The 25,550-nt window shown below is 50.1% G+C and overlaps 4 annotated features.

Annotated features, from left to right (window-relative positions):
* Window positions 2,447–2,986: an enhancer, noted in NCBI's record as "NANOG hESC enhancer chr22:49665229-49665768 (GRCh37/hg19 assembly coordinates)". NCBI's record gives its function as "activates a minimal SCP1, AML or CMV promoter by ChIP-STARR-seq in primed H9 embryonic stem cells {active_cell/tissue: H9 hESC(primed)}" and the evidence as "EXISTENCE:reporter gene assay evidence [ECO:0000049][PMID:30033119]".
* Window positions 15,604–16,803: an enhancer, noted in NCBI's record as "CDK7 strongly-dependent group 2 enhancer chr22:49678386-49679585 (GRCh37/hg19 assembly coordinates)". NCBI's record gives its function as "activates an origin of replication core promoter dependent on BRD2, BRD4, P300/CBP, MED14 and CDK7 cofactors, with strong dependence on CDK7, by STARR-seq in HCT116 cells {active_cell/tissue: HCT116}" and the evidence as "EXISTENCE:reporter gene assay evidence [ECO:0000049][PMID:35650434]".
* Window positions 23,706–24,292: an enhancer, noted in NCBI's record as "H3K27ac-H3K4me1 hESC enhancer chr22:49686488-49687074 (GRCh37/hg19 assembly coordinates)". NCBI's record gives its function as "activates a minimal SCP1, AML or CMV promoter by ChIP-STARR-seq in primed H9 embryonic stem cells {active_cell/tissue: H9 hESC(primed)}" and the evidence as "EXISTENCE:reporter gene assay evidence [ECO:0000049][PMID:30033119]".
* Window positions 24,293–24,878: an enhancer, noted in NCBI's record as "H3K27ac-H3K4me1 hESC enhancer chr22:49687075-49687660 (GRCh37/hg19 assembly coordinates)". NCBI's record gives its function as "activates a minimal SCP1, AML or CMV promoter by ChIP-STARR-seq in primed H9 embryonic stem cells {active_cell/tissue: H9 hESC(primed)}" and the evidence as "EXISTENCE:reporter gene assay evidence [ECO:0000049][PMID:30033119]".

Here is a 25,550-nt window from a genome sequence, read left to right on the forward strand (position 1 = left end):
CAGCCTCAAACCAGGACTGAACAGCGGAGGGCCCCAGGCAGCCTGAGTCCTGACCTGGTGCGGACTCTGCCCCAGCTCAGACACCCGGGTGCAGGGGCCTTTGCGGGCTCAGGGCGAGCCAAGTGGCTGGGTCTGCCGGGAGGGGCAGCACAGTCGCTGTCCAGCAAGACCTCCCTGGGGACAGAGAAACGAAGCCCACCCACAAGAGAACAAGCAGAGGCGTTTACTCAGTGCTTCCTACAGCAGGGAGTCCTCCATCGTCCCTCTGCCCCGCTGAGGCCTAACGACAGGCAGCGGAGGGGACGCTTCACCATGGGACAGGGACGGCTCCCGGCTCCCCTGATCAGAGGTCAAGGCCTGGGGAAGCTGGGGCACTCCCTAGAAGGGGGCATCCTACGCGATCGGCCAGGGGCCACATTGGGGGTTCTCTGGCTGGCTCTGAGTTGAAAGTGGAGACAGAGGTTAAGGAAGCTGGGGGTCTCTGGACCCGCGGGCAGGTAGCAGCAGAGGCTGTGGTCGCCCTCCCGGGCTGCGGTGTGCAGTGTGGTTTGTGCGTCAGCGTCCGGCCATCACGTGCGGGCATCGTCCGTTCCTGTCTCCTGTCCCTGTTCCCCGGACTTCACCCTCCACTTTCTCCCTCCTCCCTAGTAACGATTTAAAACGTTGCTGTAATTTCAAGCAGAAACTTTATTGCCCTCATTAGCTCTATTTATTATATATTGTTTTGTAAATTGTTTTCCGTCTTTATGAGTGTGCATACTTTCCATTTTATGGGACATCCTTCCGCAACATCATTTTTATAGAGGCACAATATTCCATTTTATGAATATGGGGTTTATGAATGAGTCAGATATAATACTTAGGTTGTTTCTAATTTCCATTATTATAAACAACACTGCAATGAACATTCGTATAACTGTATCTTTGCATAATCCATTAGCGGATCTATCAATATTCCCTCAGAATAAAGTTTCTTGAGCATAATATAATGAAAACTGCTAATGGTTTGAGACTTTTTAAGGCTTTCATTGCATATTTTCAAATCTCCTCCTGGAAAAAAAAATTGGAAATCTCAGCCGCACTACATGACTCTGCCACTTTTCTAAGAGCCATACTAGTATCGGGTTTAAAAGAAAGTGGAAGAAAAAGAGTGGGCATTGCTGTTTACTGCTCACCAGGACTGGCGAAATCCAGTCCCTCCCTGCTGTCTCTGATCCCTTCCGTCCATAACGCAGCAGCGAAGGAGGACGAGCCCTTCTGAGGCTTCTCAGCCAAGCACAGTAAACCCACATGCTCCTTCCGTGCCCCAGGCCCTGTGTGCCGCCCACCCACCCCTGCCTGGCTCTCCTCTCTTCCCCCAGCATCTTGTTCATTCTGTCCCAGCCTCATTGGCTGCTACTGGACAGCCCAAGCTCAGCCCTGGTTCTTTACACTGAGTCCTGGTGCCCTGGAGTCTCTCCCCACCTCCCCTGCCCTCCTCCCTCCCTTCATCTGCCCAAATGTGAGGTCTGCATGAGCACAGGTCTGGCAGAGAACTCTGCTCACTCGCCACCCAGTATTTTGGTTCACTTTTTCTTTCTTAGCATCTTCCACCAACAAATTATTGTTGGATTAGTTTATTTCCGCGTCTGTTGTCTGACTCTCTCCCAGCCTGCATGGAACGTCAGCTCCATGGAGCAGCGCAGTGTCCATCTGGCATCTGGAGCCATGCTGGGCTGGAGGAGGTACCAGGTCCAAGACTCGGAAGATGAGTGAAGGAATGAATGAATGAATGAATGAATGAACGAAGGGGACTTTTGCCCATTGTTCTATTAGAGTGTTTTCCCTTTCTTTTGATTTTAAGGGCCCTCTACTTCAATAATAAACTTTTTCTGGCTGTGTGTCAGAGTCTTTTCTTGTCTGTTATTTGTCATGTTATTTTGGTAATTTTTATTTGTTATGCCAGAGTCAAGTTCACCAGAAATATTTGCTGTTTTCTGCCTTTGATTTAATTCCTAACACAAAGTGACCACAACAGGTGCATGTCACTCATCATATCATTTTTTCTGATTCCTTTGTTTGTAATGAAAATCACGATTCCTTCTCCCTAGGACTACAGAGTGAGGGTGCACTCGGCCTTCTGTGGTTTAATTTTATCTGATATTAATGTACCTGATGTGTCTCTGGGTCTCTCCTGTGCACTTGCTGGAGCAAAGCAGATTCTATCCACAAATACCCCTGGGGCCCCATCTCATCTCCCTCCCGGGGAAGGTCCTCTGGCTTCTCCTGTCTTCAGCTCCCACTCCCTCTCCTGAGGCAGGTGCCTCCGCATGTCCAGGGCTGCTATCTGTGACCCCATCCTGTGTCTGCAGGTGGCAGCCCCCTCTTTTTTTTTAATTAATTTATTTTTTTTAGTATTGTTATACTTTAAGTTTTAGGGTACATGTGCACAATGTGCAGGTTAGTTACATATGTATACATGTGCCATGCTGGTGCGCTGCACCCACTAACTCGTCATCTAGCATTAGGTATATCTCCCAGTGCTATCCCTCCCCCCTGCCCCACCCCACAACAGTCCCCAGAGTGTGATGTTCCCCTTCCTGTGTCCATGTGTTCTCATTGTTCAATTCCCACCTATGAGTGAGAATAAGGCATCCTGTGTCTCCCCGGTGCCTGCATCATTCTGGAGACCCAAAGCCACAGCTCCCTGGCTGCCCCCCGTAGAGCTCTTTCCTCTTAATTTACAAATCAAACAGTCAACTTAAAACACAATAGCTGACCTGAAGCCAAAGAATCTGCCCACCCCAACGACAGGAGCTCTCAGAGCGATCCTGTCCCACCTCACCTCCCACCATCCCCCACCCCCGCTCCCCCCCAACATCAGGCTCAAACACTCTCGGGGCCACAGACATGGCTGATTTCTATTTTCCAGGCCCTGCTTGACTCTTTTCTCATGTCCGTGACAACTCTTCATCCCTTTCAAAGATGTCCCAGCCGCTCTGCTCTGTTTAATTAAACATCTTGAAATTAAGTGTTAGCATTTTCAACACAAACTACGTGGTGGTTTCCATGCAAACTCCGCACCGCTTTCCCGGGGAAGCTTCCAGGGGGATCTCCCACAGACAGGTTGTCCAAGAGCTCCATTTAGCTTTGCACATGGCCAAGGGTGAATGCGTGCTGCAGGGTCACAGGGCCTGGCTGTGCTGGGTCAGTGAGTGCATGTGGCGGTGGGGGGACGCAGGGGTGTGGGGGCTGGGCTCACAGCTGTGCTGGGGTCAGAGAGTGCACGGGGTGGGGCGCAGGAGTGCAGGGGTGTTGGGGCTGGGCTGGGCTCACAGCTGTGCTGAGGTCCACGAGTGCACGGAGTGAGGTGCAGGGTGTCGGGGCTGGCCTCACAGCTGTGCTGGGGTTGGGAAGTGCACGGGGGTGGGTGGTGGGCGCAGGGCTGCCAGGGCTGGGCTCACAGCTGTGCTGGGGTCAGCAAGTGCATGGGGGGGGCGGGGGGGTGCACAGTGGGGGGTGCAGGAGTGCAGGAGTGTCGGGGCTGGGCTCACTGGAACACACGAGATGCTTGCTGGTGAACAAAAGCTGCAGAGTCACAGCCCCAATCAAGGCTTCATCCCCTAATTTCTCCTGGCCAAGCTTTCTGTGAACCCCGTGATGGAATCCCTTGCAGGAAGCTCCTCAAATGCTTTTGACAAGGCTTCTTAGGAAGGGCGGAAGGACAGCCTTGGCCCCGTCTACAAGACCGGTTCGTTTTCCATAAAAAGGAACTCAGAGATAATGCTAAATATTTCCAAACAGGCAAATTTGGGGGCATTCTTCATCCATCTGTCCAACAAATTAATGAACAAATGACTCCCATTTGAAGCATTTTGTGTGTCTTCAAGTGAAATTACTAGAACACTCTAAGTCAGAAATGCTCACCAACAGCATGCGTCACCCAGCTCCCGCCCAGGTTTAACCAAATATGGCAGCGTGAGCCTAGTCAATGGCAACAGATCTCAGTCAGTAACGAACTTGCTGGATGACAGAGAAGGTAAGAGGAATAGAAGTCACAACCAACTCCCTGCAACAGCACGGACACCCCAGCACCAGAGATGCCGGCGCCTGTCTGGGTGCTTGGAGCAGCAGCCGACACCATCCAAGGGCCCAGGACCCAGGACCCAGGACCCAGACAGCACGCTGTGGCTCTCGTTCTGCATGTGGTCACTAATTGTGATGATTTCTCACATCTCACAAAGCGATGACCTACGTAAGGAACTCTTGAGCCTACATTAAATGAAGTCCTTCACAGACCAGCCAACAGCAGGCAAGATTTGGAGTCCAAGTTTGGGAGTCAGGCCAAGGCTCTCACCCTATGGGGCCTGGAAGACTTGCAGAGACCCAACGATGGGGTGTGCAGGCACCTGGAAAGGGGGTTCAGTGTCCCGTCATCAAGGGTTCCCACGCAGGGCGCAGGGTCCAGGTTCACCCCCAATCGGGTCCCCTTCCTGCAGAAGAAAGACCCTCACCTGGCTCTGCTGCCCCCAGGAGAGGCACTTCCTGTTCTGTGGATGTGAAGAAGTTGGCTTGGGCAAAGCCACTGGCTTTTTGAACTGCCCCAAGTTTCAGCATCAGGACCATGAGCTTGAGGGAGGTGTGAGGTTGGTTGAGGTTCCACCCTGCAGAGCAGAGAGGCATGTTCATGTCCCATTCACAACTGCACCCTCAAAGGGAGCACAGACTCAGCAGGTGAGTCTCCAGGGACCCAGAGTCCTGAAAGCAAGAGTCAAGACTTGAAGGTTGCTTGTTGCTGCAGCAAAGCTGAGTGGTGTCAACATTAACCCTAACCTCCAACCCCAACCCTAACCAGAACCCCTAATCCTAACCTCTAACCCCAGCCCTAACCCTAACCCTAATCCTAACCTCTAACCCTAACTTTTACCCTAACCCCTGATCCTAACCTGTAATCCTAGCCCTAACCCTAACCCCTAATCCTAACCCCAACACTTACCCTAACCCCTAATCCTAACCTCTAACCCCAACTTGTACCCTAACCACTAATCCTAACCTCTAACCCCAGCCCTAACCCTAACCCCTAATCCTAACCTCTAACCCCAGCCATAACCCTAATCCAAACCCCAAGGTCAAGTCTGTGGTGGAGCCAGCGTCCCCGGGGAGGGGACAAGCCAAGTACCTCCCATGCCTTCAGCAGGGACAGAAGACTTCAGGAAAGTCCCCGGGCAAACAGGGGCCCCACAGGCACCTTTGTCACATGGCCAGCTGGGTGTCCTTGGAACTGGCCTCTTGTGTGCACCATGCAGGGCAGGTGTGCGGCTCATTCAGGCTTCTTCAGCGACTATAGACAGGTCTCAGACCCCCACTACTAGCTTTGAAAACCTGTAAGAAAAACGGTAGACCAAGACAGAAACTACCAGGCTAGATGCAATTTAGCTTTCCTTCTTGCTCTAAAATTCTGTCTTTACAAAGAAAAGTACCTACATTCATGGTTTCCACTCTTAAGTTTCTTATTTTCTTCCAGCGCTTTCTGAGGTCTCAGGTGAATATATTCTAACAAATGCATTATTTGAGGAGATCACAGTGAAGTCCACCTATATAACGTTTATTTTAAATTCAATAAATGTTGGATCTTGGGTAAACTTTTTACTTGTGCACAGCTTCCACATTCTCGTCATGGTTCTGACGAGGCCAACGTGTAATCCATCAGTCCAGTGTTACTACGATGGAGCTGGGGAAAACACTATCCCCAGGCCCGCTAGTTTTCTATGAGGAGTGTTCATTCTCACTCTCACAAACCTGCAGGGCGGCTGCAGTTCTGCTCCTCCAGCTCTGGGCTTTTCTGGGCAGCTCGGTTGCAAAGCTGAAAGCTGAACTGGAGTCTGGACTGTGAGGTGTGATGGGAAGTCCAGGCTGAAGGGCGGCAGCTGTCCAGGCCAGATCATGGCGCGTGTGTCCAGATCCAGGATCTACGGGGCTACGGCTCACACCACGCCCTCTAGCACTCGACTAGCAGATGCATGACCAGACCCAGATTTCCCAAGAGGGAAAATGTATCCCATGCAGCAGAAGGAGGAGGGGCTCGATACTTGCTGAGTGACAATTACATCTACTGTTTGGATCACGCATCTACACACCAAAGAATCAGGTCCAAAAACACCTGCCATGGAAGCTAATGTGAAGGAAGCCGTCGGCTGCTGGGAACCCACCCTACATCAAACCCCACCTGTGCCTAATGGTACCTGACTCTCCATGGAGGTGAAGGCACCGACGTTTTAGAACTTGCCCAAATGTGTGGACGTCACCAGGAGTTAACCCACACCAAAGCTGTGATGCTTTGTCACAGACACAGGGTTATTAAAAATAAAATGTCTATGAAAATTGAAAAATCCATAAAAATATTAAACTTAAAAAATTTTGGGTTAGAAGTAAAATATACATATGTGATTTACCATCTAAAAATGTGAAACTTTTATCATTGTCAGTGATAATCAAATACTTCCATTTTCCACCATGCATAGTAATTTTGAGATCGTTATTAAAAATTGTTTAAGTTTGGCCAGGCGCAGTGGCTCACACCTGTAATCCCAGCACTTTGGGAAGCCAAGGCGGGCTGATCACCTAAGGTCAGGAGTTCGAGACCAGCCTGGCCAACATGGCGAAACCCCCATGTCTACTAAAAATACAAAAATTAGCCAGGCGTGGTGGCACATGCCTATAATCCTAGCTACTCAGGAGGCTGAGACAGAAGAATCACTTGAACCCAGGAGGCAGGGGTTGCAGTGAGCCAAGATCATGCCACTGCACTCCAGCCTGGGCAATAGAGGGAGACTCCGTCTCAAAAAAATAATAATAAAAATAAAAACTGTTTAAGTTCTATTGGTAGTGTCACTATGATGTTTTAAATTTATAAATTTCATTGCAAATTATAGGGTAAATGAACTCTAAACAGGATTACAGTTTACATTACCGGAAAAAAATCAGCTCAAAATCCGTCATCATGCATGAAAATGTTCAGGCAAAAATAAAAAGTGTGCAAATGTCTCCTTGATATTCAGCAAATGCCATGGCCGACATTAAACTTTCAGGCCCTCGTTACTGTGTCATTGGAAATGCCTCTGCAGTTCTAAAGTGGCTGATACAGTAATTAAACCGAAGACTACATTGCCTTATACGCTGACGGCTTGGTTTTATTGTCACTAACTAGGATCGTCTCAGAAATCAGCTGATCTGCTGTCTAATGGCTGTCAGAAATGAAGGTCTGAGTTCAATTATTCTAAAACAAACACAGACACTTTTGGTGTGAATCCTTCAATATTTAATTGGACTATATCTGGCAACCCTACACAGAAGGTCAACTCAATTAGCCACCAGGGACACCTGTCCCCGCTGCTCACCACAGAGCCACGCAGCCACGTCTGCCTGGTCTCCTCTTACCTTCGTGCACTTAAACTTACATTTTTCCTCTCAGTCGACCCATTTCTTGTCTTACTTTTATTTTGAAGACAACTTTATATCACTGTGAAATTACAGGCTTGACGCCCTAGTTATATTCCTGGTAATACCTTTTAAAATAAAATCGTTAACCTATTAAGATAAGAAACAACTGCCCCATGCCCCAAAACCACCCTTCCATGCCACCCTGTGCCCTCCTCGTTGGAGTCTCCAAGACACACCCTAGGAACAGAAATCCTGCCTTAAGCACACCTCCTACGTCCGTTTCTACAGACGACGTCGTCCTTGGATTCAGCCACACCATCAGCAGGCTTTCTATCCAGGGAGCAACGTTTTGATCTCTCAAATAATTGCTTCTGCCTTGGTGTGGGGCCCCTGTCATGGGCTTCAGCCCAAAGATTGGGGTCAGGGGAAGGGGGGACTCTGCTCTGGGACCCGCAGCAAGACCCAGGTGCTCAGCCCTCCCCAAGCACCTGCCAGGCTACAGAGAGGTGGGGACACTTCTACAAGGCACTGGTGATAGGGAAGCAGCAATTCCAAAACAACCAGCCAGGTCTCCCCCAGGAAGCTCTAGAGGGGTGTGTGTTTCTCTCTGCCATGTGCTGAAGTGCACTGGCCTGTGTGTAGGATTTGGAAGGTTGGCACGGACGCTCTGGAGGGGTGTGTGTTTCTCTCCGCCATGTGCTGAAGTGCACTGGCCTGTGTGTAGGATTCAGAAGGTTTGTGTGGATGTGCATTTTCAGCTACAAGAGGATTCTGTGCTGCTTTCCTCCTGTTCCTCTGGAACCGTCCCGGGACAGGCAATGCCTGGTCAGCGGCCACAGGGCCTCTTCACTCCGCTCGGTGTCCGGGGGGCCAGCCCACCAGAGGGTGGTGCCACGCGGCTCTGAGTTCACTAGGCCCCCACCTCCCTGCGTTCCCCACCCACTCCACGGCTCACTGGGACCACTCTGAAGTTGGCTGACGTTCAACTTTTCCCTGGGGTGGGTCTTGGAGACTCCAAAGAGGAGGGCACGGGGTGGCATGGGAGGGGGTTTTGGGGCACACGGCAGTTGTTTATTATCTTAATAGTTTAATGATTTTATTTTAAAAGGTATTACAAGGAATATAACTAGGTCCTCAAACCTGTAATTTGGCTTCTCATCTCTGCAGTGGTGGTGGCAGCGACGAGGATGTGTTTTGTATTTCACTGATTTCAAATGAGCCTGGGAAGCCTTTTCCCAGCTTCCCATTGGGCTTTCTGTCTTTTTCTTTCTGAAGTAGGAATCGCCTCTCTAGTCACGACATTAGTTCTTCATTGACGTTCTGCTTTCTTTCAGCTGATCATTGGGCCATAGCGTCGTGTACTGGAGACAACCACTCCGTGTTGATGGAGAAGTCGCCCAGGTCTTGCCTGGTGGTGTCCCATGTTCCCTGTGCTCAGGCCTCAAGGATATTCGTCCTCATGGTCTCCTGTCAGCTTAACGTTATGCCTTGTGCATTCAGGCCTGAATCCACCTGGGATCCATGTTAACGTGTTGGATCAGGTATGGATCCAGGTGTCCTCTCCTCCAGAGTGAGCCGGGATCACCCACAGTACCTACTGGGGGGTCCTCTTTGCCTCAGTGTACGAGTCAGGGTTCTCTAGAGGGACAGAACTAATAGGATAGAAGTATATAAAAAGGGGAGCTTATTAAGTATTAACTCACATGCTCACAAGGTCCCACCATGAGCCATCTGCAAGCTGAGGAGCAAGGAGAGCCAGTCCGAGTCCCAAAACTGAAGAACTGGGAGTCCGATGTTTGAGGACAAGAAGTATCCAGCACGGGAGAAGGATGTAGGCTGGGAGGCTAGGCCAGTCTCGCCTTTTCACGTTGTTCTACCTGCTTTATATCCTAGCTGCACTGGCAGATTGAGAGTGGGTCTGCCTCTCCCAGCCCACTGACTCAAATGTTAATCTCCCTTGGCAACACCCTCACAGACACACCCAGGATCAATACTTTGCATCCTTCCATCCAATCAAGTTGACATTCAGCATTACCCATCACAACTATTGATTTGTGTTGCCACCCACAGGTCCTCAGTGTTTAGGGTTACGCCATTGTTTACGCCACTACTATCATTCTCATCATCATTATTGTGATTTTGGAAAACTCTTAACATCTGGTAAAGCAAGCATTCCTTCTTGGTTCTCCTGCTTTCCAAGTTGGCTTTTACACCCATCCCCCAGCCCCAGCTGAAGTGTGTGCATCAGATCCCTGGGAAAGCCTGGCTGGACTGGGCTCAGAGCGGCACTGAGCCGGGGGGACTGCAGACGGGGCTGGCGCCCTGCACACATTATATCCACCCATCCAGGGTCTTCCTTCAGGTCCCAGGATATATATGTGCTGCTGCCGTCTCGGGACCACCCCCATCCTGCCTGGCATCACCCCTGTGTGCCTGTGCCCATGGCCTGAGCCGAGACCGGGATTCACAGCCTGACTTCCTGGAGTCCACGTCCCTCCTGGATTTCCTGGAGGGCCAGGTGTTGGCCCTTGTAGCCTGTATGCTGCCTGGCCCAGGTTCAGCGTCATTGCTGGAAAGACACAGCGGACCACATTCTGCCTGACCTTGGATGTGGTCACAAGGTGGGGAGGGCACATCTACCTTCCTTCCTTGGAGCCAGCCTCTCAGGATCTTCTGAAGCTGGGGAGCAGTTGGAGTACAAGCTGAACCCAGAGTGTTCAGGAAACCGAGGGGAATTCCAAGCAGCCGTGACCCTCCAGCCCAGGCTCCTCTGTGTGAGCAGGACCTTTCACAGTGAGTGGACAAGGTGGGGAGTGATTTCTGCTGGGTCAGCGTGGACCTGCCAACTTCAGAAGTGTGTCCTGATCCATCCTGGGGCGGTGAAATTGCATTGATGTGGACACACAGCCCCCGAGGATAAGGAACGCATTTTTATTTTATTTTATTTTAGGTTCTGGGATACATGTGCAGAAGGTACAGGTTTGTTACACAGGTAAATGTGTGCCATGGTGGTATACTGCACCTATCAACCCGTCGTCACCTAGGTATATTAAGCCCTGCATGCATTAGCTATTTGAAGAACGGCATTTTTTTGTTTTTGTTTTTGTTTTGAGACAGAGTCTCATTCGGTCACCCAGGCGGGACTGCAAAGGCACGATCTCAGCTCACTGCGTCTTCCACCTTCCGGGTTCAAGCGTTTCTCCTGACTCAGCCTCCCAAGTAGCTGGGATTACAGGCTCACGCCACCATGGCCAGCTAATTTTTGTATTTTTACTAGAGACAGGGTTTCACCATATTGGCCAGGCTGGTCTCAAACTCCTGACCTCAAGTGATCCTCTTGCCTCGACCTCCCAAGTGCTGGGATTACAGGCGGGAGCCACTGGCACCTGGCCAGACAGCATTTTTTAATGTGGCCTGTTTGATAAGTCCTTGGTAATATTGATAGAGTGTTTGCCAGTTAAGAAGTAGAAACCAGTGACGGTGGGCCATGAAAATGATCACATATTGGCCCTTTCATTTCGTGAAATTGCACCGACACTTCCCCTGTGGCAGGATGGCACGCCCACATTTCATAGGAAGGCTTTGCTCTCTGCCGTGTGCTCCTCTGCGTGGACAGAAAGGAGCAAAGAGGAAGAGGACCACAGCATGAAGTGGGGACGCAGGTGCCTGCGGAGGACACTTGTGTCTCTTGGGAACACTTGTGTATATTTTAATTTTTTTTTAATTCCAGAGAACTCCTTGTCCTGGCAATCCTGTGTTGATTTATTTATGGTTCTGAAATTGTTGCCAGGCTGGACACCTGCCTGGGGCAGGCCAGTGGCCCACACTGTCCCTCGTGCTGGTTTCTAAGGCCCAGCCTCTCCAATAACATTTTAAATGGCTTCTAAATTGCTTCATTTATTAAATATTCACTGTGAGAACAAAAAAGAGGATAATTCATTTTGGTGGAAGGGTTTCCTTTCCCCCTAAAAACTTTGTAGAAAAACAGCCCGTAATAATGGCAGACTTCGTAGGTGTCCGGTGGGAGAACAGGGCAGTCTGTTCAAGGCATAAATGAAACGATCTCCCAACTCACTTGGACAAACGGGGAGTCAAGGAGGTGTAAGACTTCATGAGCAAGCTGTGTCCTTGGCTGCCACCTGCGCTGGGAACCCCGGAAACCTGGGAGCGTGTACCGCTGCCCCTTCCATGGGGCCCTGAGCTGCCGCAGGGTTCGAGTTAAACAGCCACAATCCATCACTGTTTATGAGGTCAGCACAAGGGGCCACTTAGCTGTTGGCTGACCAGAGACACAATTCCTGCTGATGGGGGAGGTGGACATCTGCTGTGTGCAGGGGTTGCCTGGGGGTCCCAGGTGTCCTTTCCGGGCTGCGAATGCAAATAGAGTGGCCAGGGCTAATTGCTGCTGTCAAGCCTGGGAAATCAGATTTATTATCCATGTATCTCAAAGCCTTCATTAAGAGTTCGGGGAGAAAAAAATGTCTGTGTTCTCCATCTCCTACCAAGATTAATGAGTCAAAGAGCAGATATTTTTATAACCATGCTATCTGACTTTAATTTTAAATTCAAAAACATGCACTGGGCCCAGCTGATGTTGTACAGATTTAAAGAGGTGAGGAGCCACACACCTGGTTAGCAGATTGGACAGGGACATTTGGGCGTCTTGCAGGAGGCTGTTTCTTGTGGGTGTTTCTGTTATGCAGACAGCATGGATGTTTTCCACTATAAGACCATTCCACTTGCAGCACTGTCTGCAATGCCAGTATGTTTCCACACCAAGACACGCACTCGCCAGAGATGTTAAAGTGACTCGTTGTAAGGAGGCTCAATCTTCGCATGCACAACCATGATACTGCTCACATGTGAAGACATCAGCAATATTGACGGGCTTGAGTTTCTCCAATACATAATTCAGATACCATAAAATTCACCCTGTTTAAAAAAGTGTGCAGTTCAGTGATTCTCGGTGTTCATGACTGTAGCTCTGCAGGGAGTTTTGAATCTGGGAAGTCTGAACCCTCCAGCTTTGTTTTTCCTTGTCAAGATTGATTGGGCTAGTCTAGATCACTTGAAATTTCTTTTTCTTCTCTTCTCCTTCTTCTTCCCCTTCTCCTTCTTCTTCCTCTTCCTCTTCTTCTTCTTCTTCTTTTTTTTTTTTTTTGAGATGGAGTCTTGCTCTGACACCCAGGCTGGAGTACAATGTTGTGATCTCGGCTCACTGCAACCTCTGCCTACTGGGTTCAAGAAATTCTCCTGCCTCAGCCTTCTGAGTAGCTGGGATTACAGGTGCCCACCAAAATGCCTGTCTAATTTTTGTATTTTTAGTAGAGACAGAGTTTCACCATGTTAGCCAGGCTGGTCTCGAACTCCTGACCTCAGGTGATCCACCTGCCTTGGCCTCCCAAAGTGCTGGGATTACAGGCGTGAGCCACTGCGCCCAGCATAGATCACTTGAAATTTCATCCCATTGCCTTCTGCTCTCCATGGTTTCTGATGAGAAATGAACAGTTAATCTTACCAAGGATCCATTACACAAGAGTCACATCTCTCCTACTGTCTTCAAGATTCTCTCTTGAATTTTGATAGTTTGAGTATAACGTGTCTATGTGTCTCAGAGTTTGTCCAACTTGGAACTGTCTAAGCTTCTTAATTCTATAGACTAATGTTTTCTTCGCCAAATTTGAAAAGTTTTCAGGAATTATTTTTAAACCTTTTTTCCTAATCATTTATATCTTTCTCTTCTCCTTTGGGACCTCTTATCGTGCATGTGTGGGTATATTTAATGACATGCCACAGGTCTCTGAGTCTCTGTTCATTTTTTTATTCTTTTTTTTCTCTCTTCTCAGATTGAATAGTCTCAATTGTCCCACCTTCAAGTTTGTAAGGTCTTTCTCCTGCCTATTCCAACCCACTGTTGAGTTCCTCTAGTGAATTTTCACTTGAGGCATTGTATTTTTCAACTCCAGAAATTTATTTTTTTATAGCTTCTATGTCTTTACTGATATTGCCTCACTGGTGAGACATGGTTCTCATACTTTTCTTTAGTTTTTAGACATGGTTTCCTTTTGTTAAATCACCATATTTAAAATTAGGTGATTTTAAGTCTTTGTCCTCTAAGTCCAATGCCTGGGCTTTCTCAGGGATAGTTTTAACTGACTGCTTCTCTTATATGTATAAAACCATAACTTTCTGTTGCTTTATATGCCACCGATATTTTGTTGAAAACTGGACATTTTAAATACTATGATGTGGCATCTCTGGAAATCAGATTCCTACCCTCAGATTCCAAATCAGATTCCAAACCGGGGTTTGTTGCTCTTGCTTTTTGTTTTTGCTTTTGTTGTCATCGTTGTTTGGTGACTCTTGTTAACTAGTTCTGTAAAGTATGTCTTCTCTGTCATGTTTGGCCACTAACATCTCTGCTTGATTAGCTCTGTGGCCAGCCAGTGATTGGATGGAGACGTCTTAAACACCTGCAATCTGTCCGTCCCCCAGACTGTTTGGAAGGGATATTCTGTGTGCATGAGGGGTGTGCCCGCCACACTCAGCAAGTGTACAATTCTGCATAGCTTTACTTCCTGTGTGTGCATAAGCTCAAAGTCATCTAGGGTGGAAGCTCAGGAACAACTTCTCAGATCTTTCCTGAGCATTCACATAGCTCTATGCACACAGGTAGCTTTCTAGATTCCCAAGAATATGTCAGAGATTTTCCGAACTGCAGAGGATATCTCATTCCCCAGATTTTCCTTTGAAATATTTTGTGAGCCTAATGTTTGTGTCAACTCTCATCCACCACCTCAGGTAGGTGCAAAGTTCAACAATTTCCTCCAGTAATTTTCAACAAACACCTCCAGGGAGAAGGCTTTTTGTATTGTGCGAGTTCTGAGTCAGGTCAAATAAAAACACCCTCGCAAGTGAGGTCCTCCAGAAACTGCCAGACAGGTCAAGTCATGACAGTCTTCTGCAAATGAGGCTTGGAAGGAGCCCCAGCCCTGTGCTCCTCTTCCCTGTGAGTGCTGGGCTGCTGGGCTCACAGAGATGGCAGGCTGTTGATCTTCAAGTCAACCACAGAGCTGCAGAAAGGGGCGTGAGAAGAGGGCAGGTTAAAACACTGCAGAGTTCACTGGCTTTGTGCATTAGACCTGAGGGAGCTGAGCACTGGAGTCTCATGGGGTGGGGCTTCTGAGGTCCTGGGGCCAGAGTGGGCTTGGTGGTCTGAGGGACAAGGAAGGGCACTGTAAGGATGGAACAGATTGAGTAAGGGGAGGCAATGAGGCTGAGTGTAGAGAAGGAACTGGCCACCTAGGAGCCTCATATTCATTGTAAAGAAACTTATTTCACTCTGAAAGAAATTCAGAGCCAAGCAGGGTCTGGTAAGAGGAGTGATGAGTCAGAACTACTCGAAAGGTTTTACCCCGCAGCTCTGCAGAGAGGACCCTAAAAGCGGAGCAGGAGTGGAAGCAGAGAGACAGTTTAGAAAGTCATTGACAATAACCTGATTGCAGAGGACAGTGACTGGGCCAGGGTGGTGGCCAGACAGACGGTGAGAAGGGTTCAGATCTAGGTAGATTCTGAAGGTCAAGCCCTCCGGATTTGCAGATGGACTGTGCATGCGCTGTGAGAGGAAACCTTGCTTTGTAGACACCTGGAGGGAGGGAGTTAGCATATGAACAAAGGTGGTGGAGGTTTGTGGGGAAGAGAATGTCCAGTGTCCACTCTCAGGTGCTGATGAGTTAAGGGTGAGATGCCCAAAAGACCCCTAAGGAGGTCGAGCAGGAGGCAGCCGGATGGAGGAGCCTGAAGGGCTCGGGGCTGGAGGCAGAGATGACTCAGGGGAGGCCAGTGTCTGGACGGAGTTCAAAGCCATGAGACAGCAGGAAAGAACGCCGATAAGAGAGAGAGAGAGAAGCAGTGGGCTGAGTCCCGAGGATCCCATTTCTACAGGTCTGAGAAACAGGAAGAAATAACAGCCAACACGATACCAGCTCCCTGGCTGTTATTCCAACATTCAATTCTAGCTGTGTGATTTCAGAAAATCCATTTACCCTCTCTGGGCCTTGGTTTTCTCATCTGTAGATTGGGCGTAATGAGTTTCCTGCCTCCCCTGCAGGGTTTGGACCTGCCAGCCCTCACCATGACCAAAGCAAATTCCTTGAATTTATTTCCCTTTTATATAAATGTGCAACTGGGTCTGCTCCTCTGCAGAAACCGGATATGTCGGGATAATGAATTCTGCCGTGGCTGCATCTTTCACAGCTGTGTTGGGTCCAGGCAGGGATGGAGGTGGAAGTCTTGAACAAGCAAGAAGGGAGGTTCATTTTCCAATCTGAGCTTGGCTGTTTTCTGTCCTCACTGTAACTCCGGTTCTCACTGGTCTGGTCCTCAAGCAAGAGGCAAGCGTCTTCGAGTCCCTGACTGACCCATGGTCCATCACTCCCCACCCAGGTCCCTGTGCCTGGACCCGGGTTCCCCAGGAGACACAGAGGCCCTGCCCCAGCCGCCGGCTGATCCCGTGTGACCTTGGTCATGAGAACACGCATCAGCCGTGTCCATCATGAATCAGCCGGCGTGCTCATTACAACAGGAGCTTCAATCTCATCTTCTTAATAGCTTGATCTGACCAAATAATTGAGAATCACATCCTGCCACACCCTGCCAGCAGTGGCTGGCCTTCCAGAGGTAGGTGGGCGTACTGTGGAACCAGGGATGAAATGTCACCTGACTTTTTACTTAGCAGATACTCTCCAGGAGGCTGTGCTGTGTTTGAACTAGGGGTGTGGGGGGACAGGGGAAGTGAACCAGCCAGTGTCGGCCCCCAAAGGAATGTACAGGTCACTAGGGCGGGAAGAGGCAGGAACAGGAGGGAGGGCACAGGGCTGTGAGGAGACGCTCCTGGTGGGCAGAGGAGGCCAGGCTGGACACCTCCTCCATCCCAGGTCTTGCTCTATCTTCCCACCAACCTGAAGATTCCACTTTTAAATGACAGAAAATAAGTCCCAGGATAAACACCAAGCAGGCACCAGATCAAAGCGGCAGCAAATCCATCCAGGGAGGACCTCTGCTCGGCGATCGGTGCAGGGGCAGCAAGAAAATCAGGTCCCTGTGGGCCCCGCTGCCCAGAGCCAACATAAGGAGCTCTGCAACATAAAGGATGTGTGTGTTCACGGGAAAATCAAATGGGAGCCCTGGCTGGAGCAGAACACTCTATGATTTGAAGATAATCATGAGGCATTTCTGCTTCTAGAAGACTCTGTGTGTACATGCATCCCTGGGCCGGAAGTACGGAACTCTGTGTCATGACGGAAATGCACATTAAAATGATGACGAGCCCGCACTACACGCCTATTAGAACACCCCAAATCTAAAGCGCTGACCCCAAATGCTGCAGACACGGAGCTAGAAACCTTCGTTCATTGCTGGTAGGAGTGCAGAATGGTGCAGCAGCTTTGGAAGACAGTTTACAAAACTCAATAGACTCTTAACATCGGATCCAGGAATCACACTCCTTGGCATTTACCCGAAGGGACTGAAAACCTGTACCCACATGTAAACCCACACAGGCATGTTTATAGCAGCCTTATTCATAATCACCAAAACTCGGAAGCAACCAGGATGCCCCTCAGTAGGAGAATGAAATGAACCGGTGCCTTCAGACAATGGCGCATCATCCCAGTGCCGAAAACCTGTGCTATGAAGCCCTGAAAAGACACGGAGGGAGCTTAAATGCATATTACTGAGTGAAAGAAGCCGGTCTAAAAAGGCTCCACACTGTACGATTCCAACCATATGACATTCTGGAAACAGAAAACCATGGTGATAATAAAAAGATCAGGGGTTTCCAGGAATGAGGAGGGAGGAAGGGATGTTTAGGGCAGGGGAAACTCTATGATAGTCTAATGGGGGATGCCTGTCATTACGGCTTTGTCCAAGCCCACAGATTGCACATCTCCCCTGCGGACGATAACGATGCTCAGTGTCATCCGCTCAGGGATCCTGTCAAATGCACACACAGTGGGGAACGGCCCTACGGGGGAGCCTGGGTAGGCAGGGAGGCTGCAGAAACTCCCCGTGCCTTGCATTCAATTTCACATGAACCTGCAACTGCTCTAAAAAATAAACTCTGTTTTATTAAGTGGAAGAGGGAGGCAGAAGGGGAGATCAGAGTGCTGTGATGTGGAAGCACTGGACCCACCTTTCTGAGACTCAGGAAGCTCCCAGAGCTCAGAGAGCGGGAAAGGCACGGGGTGGGGGCCACCTGCGGAGTGTGCAGGAAAAGACCCGGCCCCACCCATACGACGTCAGCCAGGGAGACCCACGCCAGGCTTCTGACCACAGAACCCTCAGAGAATGCGTTTGCATTGTTTTAAGCCGCGGCGTTGGTGGTGCATTTAGGCGGCAGCCATAGATTCTTATGCGACTTTACATCAATGGCTGCCACGACCCTGCTATGTGACACGCTAATTTTTCTTTCACTTCACAGTGTATCTTATGGATGATTCCTTATCTCATTCTTTTTCGAGGTTGCGTGGAATCACCGTACGTAATTTATAGACCCAATTCTGCTACGTGGACATGTAGACACTTCGCAGGAGCTTTTGCTTTTTGTTTGTTTGCTTTTATTGTGGATGATCTGAGCTAACGTTGGGTGATCCAGGGGCTATTTTGCCCTCTCCATCATGTTCTGTCTCAGGCTGCGAGGCTGGCTCCGGGCTTCCTCTCCCAGAGCTCGGGGCAGGGTGAATTCCCCACCTGTAACTCTTAGACATCGCTAATTCTGCAAGACTCCATCAGGACATTGCAGATATTAGGGCAGGGGCGGACGAGGCGCCTCCCCGGTGCCAGGGTCACACTGCCGAACTCAGGTGCTGTGACCTCTGCCCTCCACAGGCTCCTCCGAAATCCAACCGGATGCCCAGGACCAGAGTTTGAGGCATGCGTCTGCAGGAGAGCAATTCAATTCCGGAAGAAAAACACGTTTTCTCTCTGTCTCCACCGATTTAGAAAGTGGAGAAAGTTGATTTCAAGGGGGTCTTTGGGAAATAAGAGGAAACAGGCTTTGGAATAACTGTGGAGAGAGATGCGAGGGCGTTCTCAGAAGGAGAGAGAGATGCGGAGAGGCGGGGCATAGATTCAAACGGCCCAGGGATGGTCGGGGTATGGGGAGGGGATCTCGGGAGGGGACGCAGACTGTATTCCAGAGCCCAGTAATGCCAGCTACATGCCCTCCTTCTCTCTGCAGGAGCAGACAGGCTCAGGCCCAGGGGCACAGGGCATCATCATTATGGGTGGATTCGGGCTGCCTCTCTGGGCTCTTCTGTGGCCGAGGGTGGACCACCCTGCCTGGCTGCTCCAGTGGAGCCTGGGTCTCCAAGGTGGTAGTTAGGCTGGTCTGGGCAGGTGGGGGCGGGAAGAGGTGCGGGAGAGGCACAGCTGACCCACCTTGGACGATGCTCGGAGGTTCTGGGCTCTGGGAATCTGGTTCTCCATGTTCACCCGCTCCCAGCGCCTCTCCCACGCAGCCTCACTGCCAGCAGGACCCACTGCTCTTCACGGCCTGTCTTGTCAGCTTGAGCTACAGTAAAACATCACTGGCCAGTTTAATCAGAAATGTTAATTCTTTACATCCTGAGGCTGGAAGGCTAAGATCAAGGCACAGGCAGATGCGGAGTCTGGCGGGAGCTGGCTTCCTGGCTCCTAGAAGACGCCACCTCACTGTGCCCTCATGGGGCAGAGAGTGTGAAGCTGCTCTCACCCCACTCCATAAAGGGCGCTAACCCCACCCTGGGGGCCACCTTCATGGCCTCGTTGGCCCTAATTACCCTCCAAGGTCCTAATACCATCGCTTTGGGAGTTAGGGCTTCAATATACAAACCGGGGGGTAGGGCAGAAACATTTTGTCTACCACAGGACCCAGTTACACTGGCCCCACCCCACCCCCAGCTGACTCCCTGTTCCAGGAGCCCCTGGAGGGCCGGGGGAGTGTGAGTCTCCGACTCAGTGGTTCTCAGACTTCCCCATCCATGAGAACCACCTGCAGGTTGGAGCACAGGTCACTGGGCCTAATCCATCACTTCCGATTCACTGCATCTAGGGAAGGTCGGAGCATCTGCATCTCATACAAGCACTCAGTGCTGTGTGTGTGATGGGCTCCGAGAACGGGGATGGGCTCGTCCACCCGGCTCCAGAGCGGGCTGTTCTGTGTGAGAAGCAGCTCTTGTGGGTCGCTTTGAACAGAGGAGATGGAAAGAGGATGTCTAGGCACACACTGGGTGAAGCATGCAGCCTCCCCCACAGACCACCAGGCCCTGACAGGAGGCACTCAGTGCAGCCCCTCAACATCACCCACCTGAACACTCAGCAGCCGAGATGACGGCACAGCCCAAAGTTGGGTCACAGGCTCAGGAGTGTCAAGCTGTGGCACCGCTGCCTGTACATCAGCTCCTCTTTGACTCCAGCCTCCGACAGACTCAGTGATGGAAACGTCAGCTTTACTCATTCCTGGTCTTCTCTCAGGGACCGGGCCAAGCTTCCGGAGCCTTAGGGAGCACTGAGGCACGAGGGAGGGGCTGCGGCCACTGTGGCTGCTGTCCACAGGCGTGTTTTCCTTAGAGAGGGAGCAAAAGGAAAAAGCAGGGTGTCAGGACCCCAAATTCACTGTGCTGAAGGGAAAGTGAAGCTTGCGAACTGAGTCATGAGGAAAACAACCTGCCTTCCTTCTGTTCCCAGAGAGCTGTCACTTCACAGGTTTACTTGGGCTTATGTGCAAAGTAGATTCACTGAGCACTTACCAAAGCCTCAGAGGAGTGTAGCTGCTTGCCTCACTGCCTGTCTACCCCACCCCTTTTTTTCCTTTCTTCCTTTCCCTTCTGCTCACTTCTTCCCCTTTAAATATTGAAGTTCCGGCCCGGCGCTGTGACTCACACCTGTAATCCCAGCACTTTGGGAGGCTGAGGCGGGCGGATCACCTGAGCTCAGGAGTTTGAGACCAGCCTGGGTAACATGGTGAAACCCCGTCTCTACCAAAAATAAAAAAATTAGCCGGGCGTGGTGGCAGGCACTGTAATCCCAGCTACTTTGGAGGCTGAGGCAGGAGAATCGCTGGAACCCAGGAGGCGGAGGTTGCAGTGAGCTGAGATCACTCCACTGCACTCCAGCCTGGGTGACAAGAGCAAAACTCCATCTTAAAAGAAAAAAAAAGAAGTTCCCAAAACCCTCTCTGGCAAAAGGATAGCCACAGATCTTACCGTAACTTGTGTTTCTTTTTCCTGGGCATGTCTTTGACCTTGGCAAAAATAAACCTCTAGATTGGCTGAGATCTGCACTTCTTGGTTACCAAGGGTTGTGTGTGAGTACATGTGCATGCATGTGTGTGCATGTGGCACGTGTGTGTTTGTGTGTGTGTGTCAGCGAGCTCTTGGGCATTTTATGGAAGAATTCTGATTGCTTAGAAACCAAACGGCCTGAGCTGCAGTATATTTTACCAACGAGCTCCTTCTTTAAAGAGCTGAACACCGTCAGAAATAAGCCCAGGTAGGCAGTGGGGGCCATCAGAGAAATATACCTCTTATTACCACCTGGAAATTACCACCCTGGATTTACCGCAGCAAAACCCCTGCTTGTGTAATTTTCACCATAGCACACCAGGTCAACAAGTACGCTTCTTATAAAGACAAAATCAGATCAGATTTAACACATTTTGGTCACGGTCCATTTTCTTTTAGCTGGGGAGAGTCCCCCATTTCTTCAAACAGAAATCCCAGATGTTTTTGGCAGATTTCCATCCACTTTATTTTCTTATAAAACGGCACTAAGCACCTTACAGCTCTAGAGTGATTTAGTGCAAAATGCAAACATGTCCAGGAATAAGGCACCGAGCCTGGGGCCTCCCTGAATGCCTGATGCTCCGAGGACTTGTCTGCACCCAGCTGTTGTGCTTCCTTCATTATCACAGAGGTGAGCACATGTTACATGCAAAACGCTACGAAAAATTATTGTGATGTGCCAATTACAATTTTCCCTATTCAAATTTGGAGCATCGAGTAGAAGAATGTCCTTAAAAAAATTCTTCCCAAATCCCAAATGATTAGTTTATTCATTTTGCCATCATGTACCTGTTATTTAAATTCAAAAGTAGTGATGTTAGCGTTGTTGTTCACAGGGGTGTGGGTTAACAGTTCTGAGGCCATTTTTGTCTGCTGCTGAGTCAGAACAAATGCGTATGATGGGTGGTGGATGGGGGAGCTGGATTTCTTGCTGTCAGAGTGAGAGTTAAATATCAATAACAGCATGAGGCTAAATGACCCATGAGGTCACGGGTTAGGGCTGGAGACACCAGCAAGAACTCATGTTGGGCTTACTAGAGATCCATACAGTTACATGCAGAGCTATTTATAGATACATGTATATACACAGTATGTGCACACATACTTCCAAGCTCTGTCCCTTGAAAAACACTAAACACATCAGCACCCCAGTATCCATGAGCACCCCCAGCACCCAGGCCTTGGTTTCTAACACCATTCCCTGGAGGATTCAAGGTTCCTTGGAAAAACAGCAGATTCAAAAACTGGGGCAGGAAATCGAGAAGCATGAGCCAGCAGCACCACGTGGTGCCAAAAAGTAAGGAAACCTCAAGAAGCAAAACGATTGAGGTATGTCAAAGGGACATGGAAGCCCTTGAAAAACAGCCAATGACCAAAGCTGGAAGAATCTGAACCAAGAAGGGTAATAATATTGTAGTATTAGATGAGCTCTGGGCTCAGCTAGTGCTTGGATGGAGATTTCTTAAATACCCGGAATCTGTCCATCTCCCAGTGTTTTCAAGGGCATTTCCCTGCCCCTTGAGGTGGGCTCCACTTAGTGATTTTCTTTCAAAGAGTAGAGTATAAATAAGGGCAAAGAAAGAGACTCTTTACCATGGAGGAGCCCGGCAGACACTTCCGCCAGGCGGCCAAGGTCAATGCCAACAGTGAGGAGCCATCTTGTACCCTTGAAAAGATGTGATGGAAATAGCCCTTCACCTCCCGATAACCCACAACTTCCATCTAGAAAAACAGACAGATCACAATGGAGAGACATTCTGCAAAACACCTGAGCAGTCCTCCTCCAGACTGTCAAGGTCATCATAACTGTCAAGGTCATCATAACTGTCAAGGTCATCATAACTGTCAAGGTCATCAAAACTGTCAAGGTTGTCAAAACCAAGGAAAGTCTGAGAAACTGTTATGGCCAAGAGGAGCCTCAGGAAGCGTGATGACTAAATGTCACGTGGGATTCTGGATGGGATCCTGAGACAGAAAAGGGACAACAGGTGAAGACGAAGGACATATGCATTAACCATGGACTTCAGTGAATAATCACACATCACCCTCGGTCTATTGATTCTAGCAACTGTACCACAGTCGTAGAAGACGGTGATGGTGGAGACTGTGTATAGGAACTCTCTGTACTTTCTTTACTTTTCTGTAAACCCAAACTATTTTAAAATTAAAAATTTCTTTGAAAAAAAAATTAAAAGTGAGTAAGGTCCCCCAGTCTGGTAGTGGCCCAGATCACTCCTGAGCAGCCTTCAGTCCTGACTTTCTGCCACTCAGGATGCTGGATGACGGGCAGGAGGCTGCGCTGCACTCTCCAGCCTGAATGTCAGGCTGCATGGAAGGGTGTGAAGCTCTAGATGACCCTCCTCGTGGATTACACTTGCCGTCCTGGGTGGTGGCACCCAAGCAAACTATTTTTCTTCGAGTCAAATTGGTTTCTCTGATCAAACTGTTGCTGCCTGCTCGCTGCCCGAAGGGCCCAGAAAGTGACCTATTTTTCTAACAAAGCTGAGCTGATTGCACACTGCAGTGAAGAGGGTGCCAGCGGAATAGTCTCCTAACATCTCAGCAAAGGAGGGGGGTTTGTAAAGGCTGGGGGCCGCCCCAGCAGCGCCTTTCAGAGTGTGAGTGTCTGGTGGGGAGGGGTAACTGGAATGGGTCAGAGTTCGCATGATAATAATTTAGGATTTGTGGACACCAAGGGGGAGGCTTTCAAACAAGCTTTGAGCAATGAGCAGCTGTTCGACAAGGCCAGCTGAGAGATGCGACCGACTGTTCTGAGATGGGGCCATTTGCTCCGAGGAGGGTCCGCTTAGCAGTCTATTGCTGAGATAAATGGATTTTCAGCCAGTCCCTGGAATGAAGAATAAAGTCATTTGGAACTCCGTCTTCCTGGGCGAGCTGTCCTTGGAACAGTGACATCGTGCTCACTAGAGGGGAGGTGGGCGGCTGTGGCTGGGCTCAGCTCTCACTGTGAGGGGCGGGTGGTCTCTCTCCTGCATGACCCTGCCAAAACCGGTTGGTATTAAACGGACCTGCTTTTCTCTGGCCCTATAACGAAGATTCTGCTTCCAGGCAGAGGCTGTTTTCCTTTGCATTTTAGGTCTGTTTATTTCTAAAATCGGGCTTGAACTTGGACATGCAGGTATCCTGCTGTTGGTTTTCCTCCTCCTTATTCACTCCCTGATATTATCTGGGGCAGAGGAGCTCAGGGCCTCTTCTTGGTGGTGCCTCCCTGCCTCAGAGCTTAACTGGCCTCCCCGACCCCCTGGGGCACTGCATCTCTGGGAAGTCCCAGAATCCCAGCCCTGACCCCCAGGGCCCCTGAGTGCACCACGGAGCCAGGGGCAGTGTCGGGGAGCAGGAGGCAGACCCTGCGCTCGGGAGAACCTCAGACTCCTTTCCTCCATCTGCCTTTTCAGGGATGTTCCCTACTCTTACTTTTATTTTCATTATAGGCTTATTTTTCCCTCCTTACTCTACCCTTAGCAGAAATCCTTGAGGCTTGGCTGGCTTCCTTCTCCCGGGACAAGGATGAGGAGATACAGGGAGCAAAAACAGAAGGAGTTACCCAGCCCAGAAGCAAAGCACTGCACGTGAGCACAGCCCACTCCTCTCTTCGGTGAGAGCCGTCTGCTCCCGAACATGCTCTGAATCTGTTGGTTCATTCCGCACAGCTGGACTGGAGACCTCGGCATTGCCTGGTTTGGGCTCACAGAGGCGGTGGGGGGCAACGCACAGTGCAGGGACAGGACCAGAGGACGAGGGCTGCCCAGGCATGTCCAGGAGAGAGCAGTGCTTTGCACTCCAGCACCTCCCCTGCCATGCTTTGGCCTGGATTATCCCCCGCCCCTGCCTCTGAAACTTGCACACTTGGCCTGTGCAGGGGAGGAGGGCAAAGCTGCTCAGCTTCCACCGGAATCTTCGCTTCTCTTTCAAGATCCTTCCCTCCTGTGTGAGTTTCCTGCGGCTGCTGGAACAAAACACCACGGACTGGGCGTCACAACAACTGAAATTTATTTTCATGGTTCTGGGGGCCAGAGGCTAATCTTGTCGATAAAGCCTTGTTTTCCCTGAAGGCTCTAAGGGAGGATCCTTCCTGCCCCACCCACTACCCCCCACCCCACAGCTTCTGGGAGCTCCAGGCATCCCCTGGCCTGTGGCTGCATCGCTCCAGTCTCTGTCTCCATCCCCACACAGCCTTCTTCCTGGTGTTGGTGTCTTCTCCTCTGTGTGTCTGTAATGAGGACACTTGTCATTGGATTTAGGGCCCACTTGGATAATGCAGGATGATCTCATCTCAAGATTCTTACCTTAATCCATCCGCAAAGACCCTGTTTCCAAAAAGGCCACCTTCCCTGGTTCCAGGGGTTAGGATGTGGACATATCACTTGGGCACTGACATCAAGCTTACTGCACCTCCTCTGGGCCCAGGGTGGCTAGGAAGGACCCACCTTTGACGTTGCTGTTACATTCGGCCTCCTACGGGGTCTTGCTCAGAAATGGCATCCACGGGCCCTTTCTCCACACTCTCAGGTACATGCAGCTGCATTACACAGCCCAGGTGCTTACCTGTCTAGGGTATCTGTGGCCCAGGCTTGCACACATAAGAGGCAGATGGTCCCTGAGCTCCCGGATACATCCCCATACATTTCAACATCGCCTGGTCTCGGTTCTGACCTTTGAGTACCACTTCCTCTCCTGCAGAGAAAACAGGGCACAAAGTCATCCAGGGCTATAGGCCATGGAGCAGTCTCCGTGCCTTCGCAGACCACTTTGTCTTGCGAGCTTAGACAGCACCTGGTGGCTGGAGTT

This window comes from Homo sapiens, chromosome 22 (genome assembly GCF_000001405.40).
Source record: "Homo sapiens chromosome 22, GRCh38.p14 Primary Assembly".
NCBI classification, from domain to species: Eukaryota; Metazoa; Chordata; class Mammalia; order Primates; family Hominidae; genus Homo; species Homo sapiens.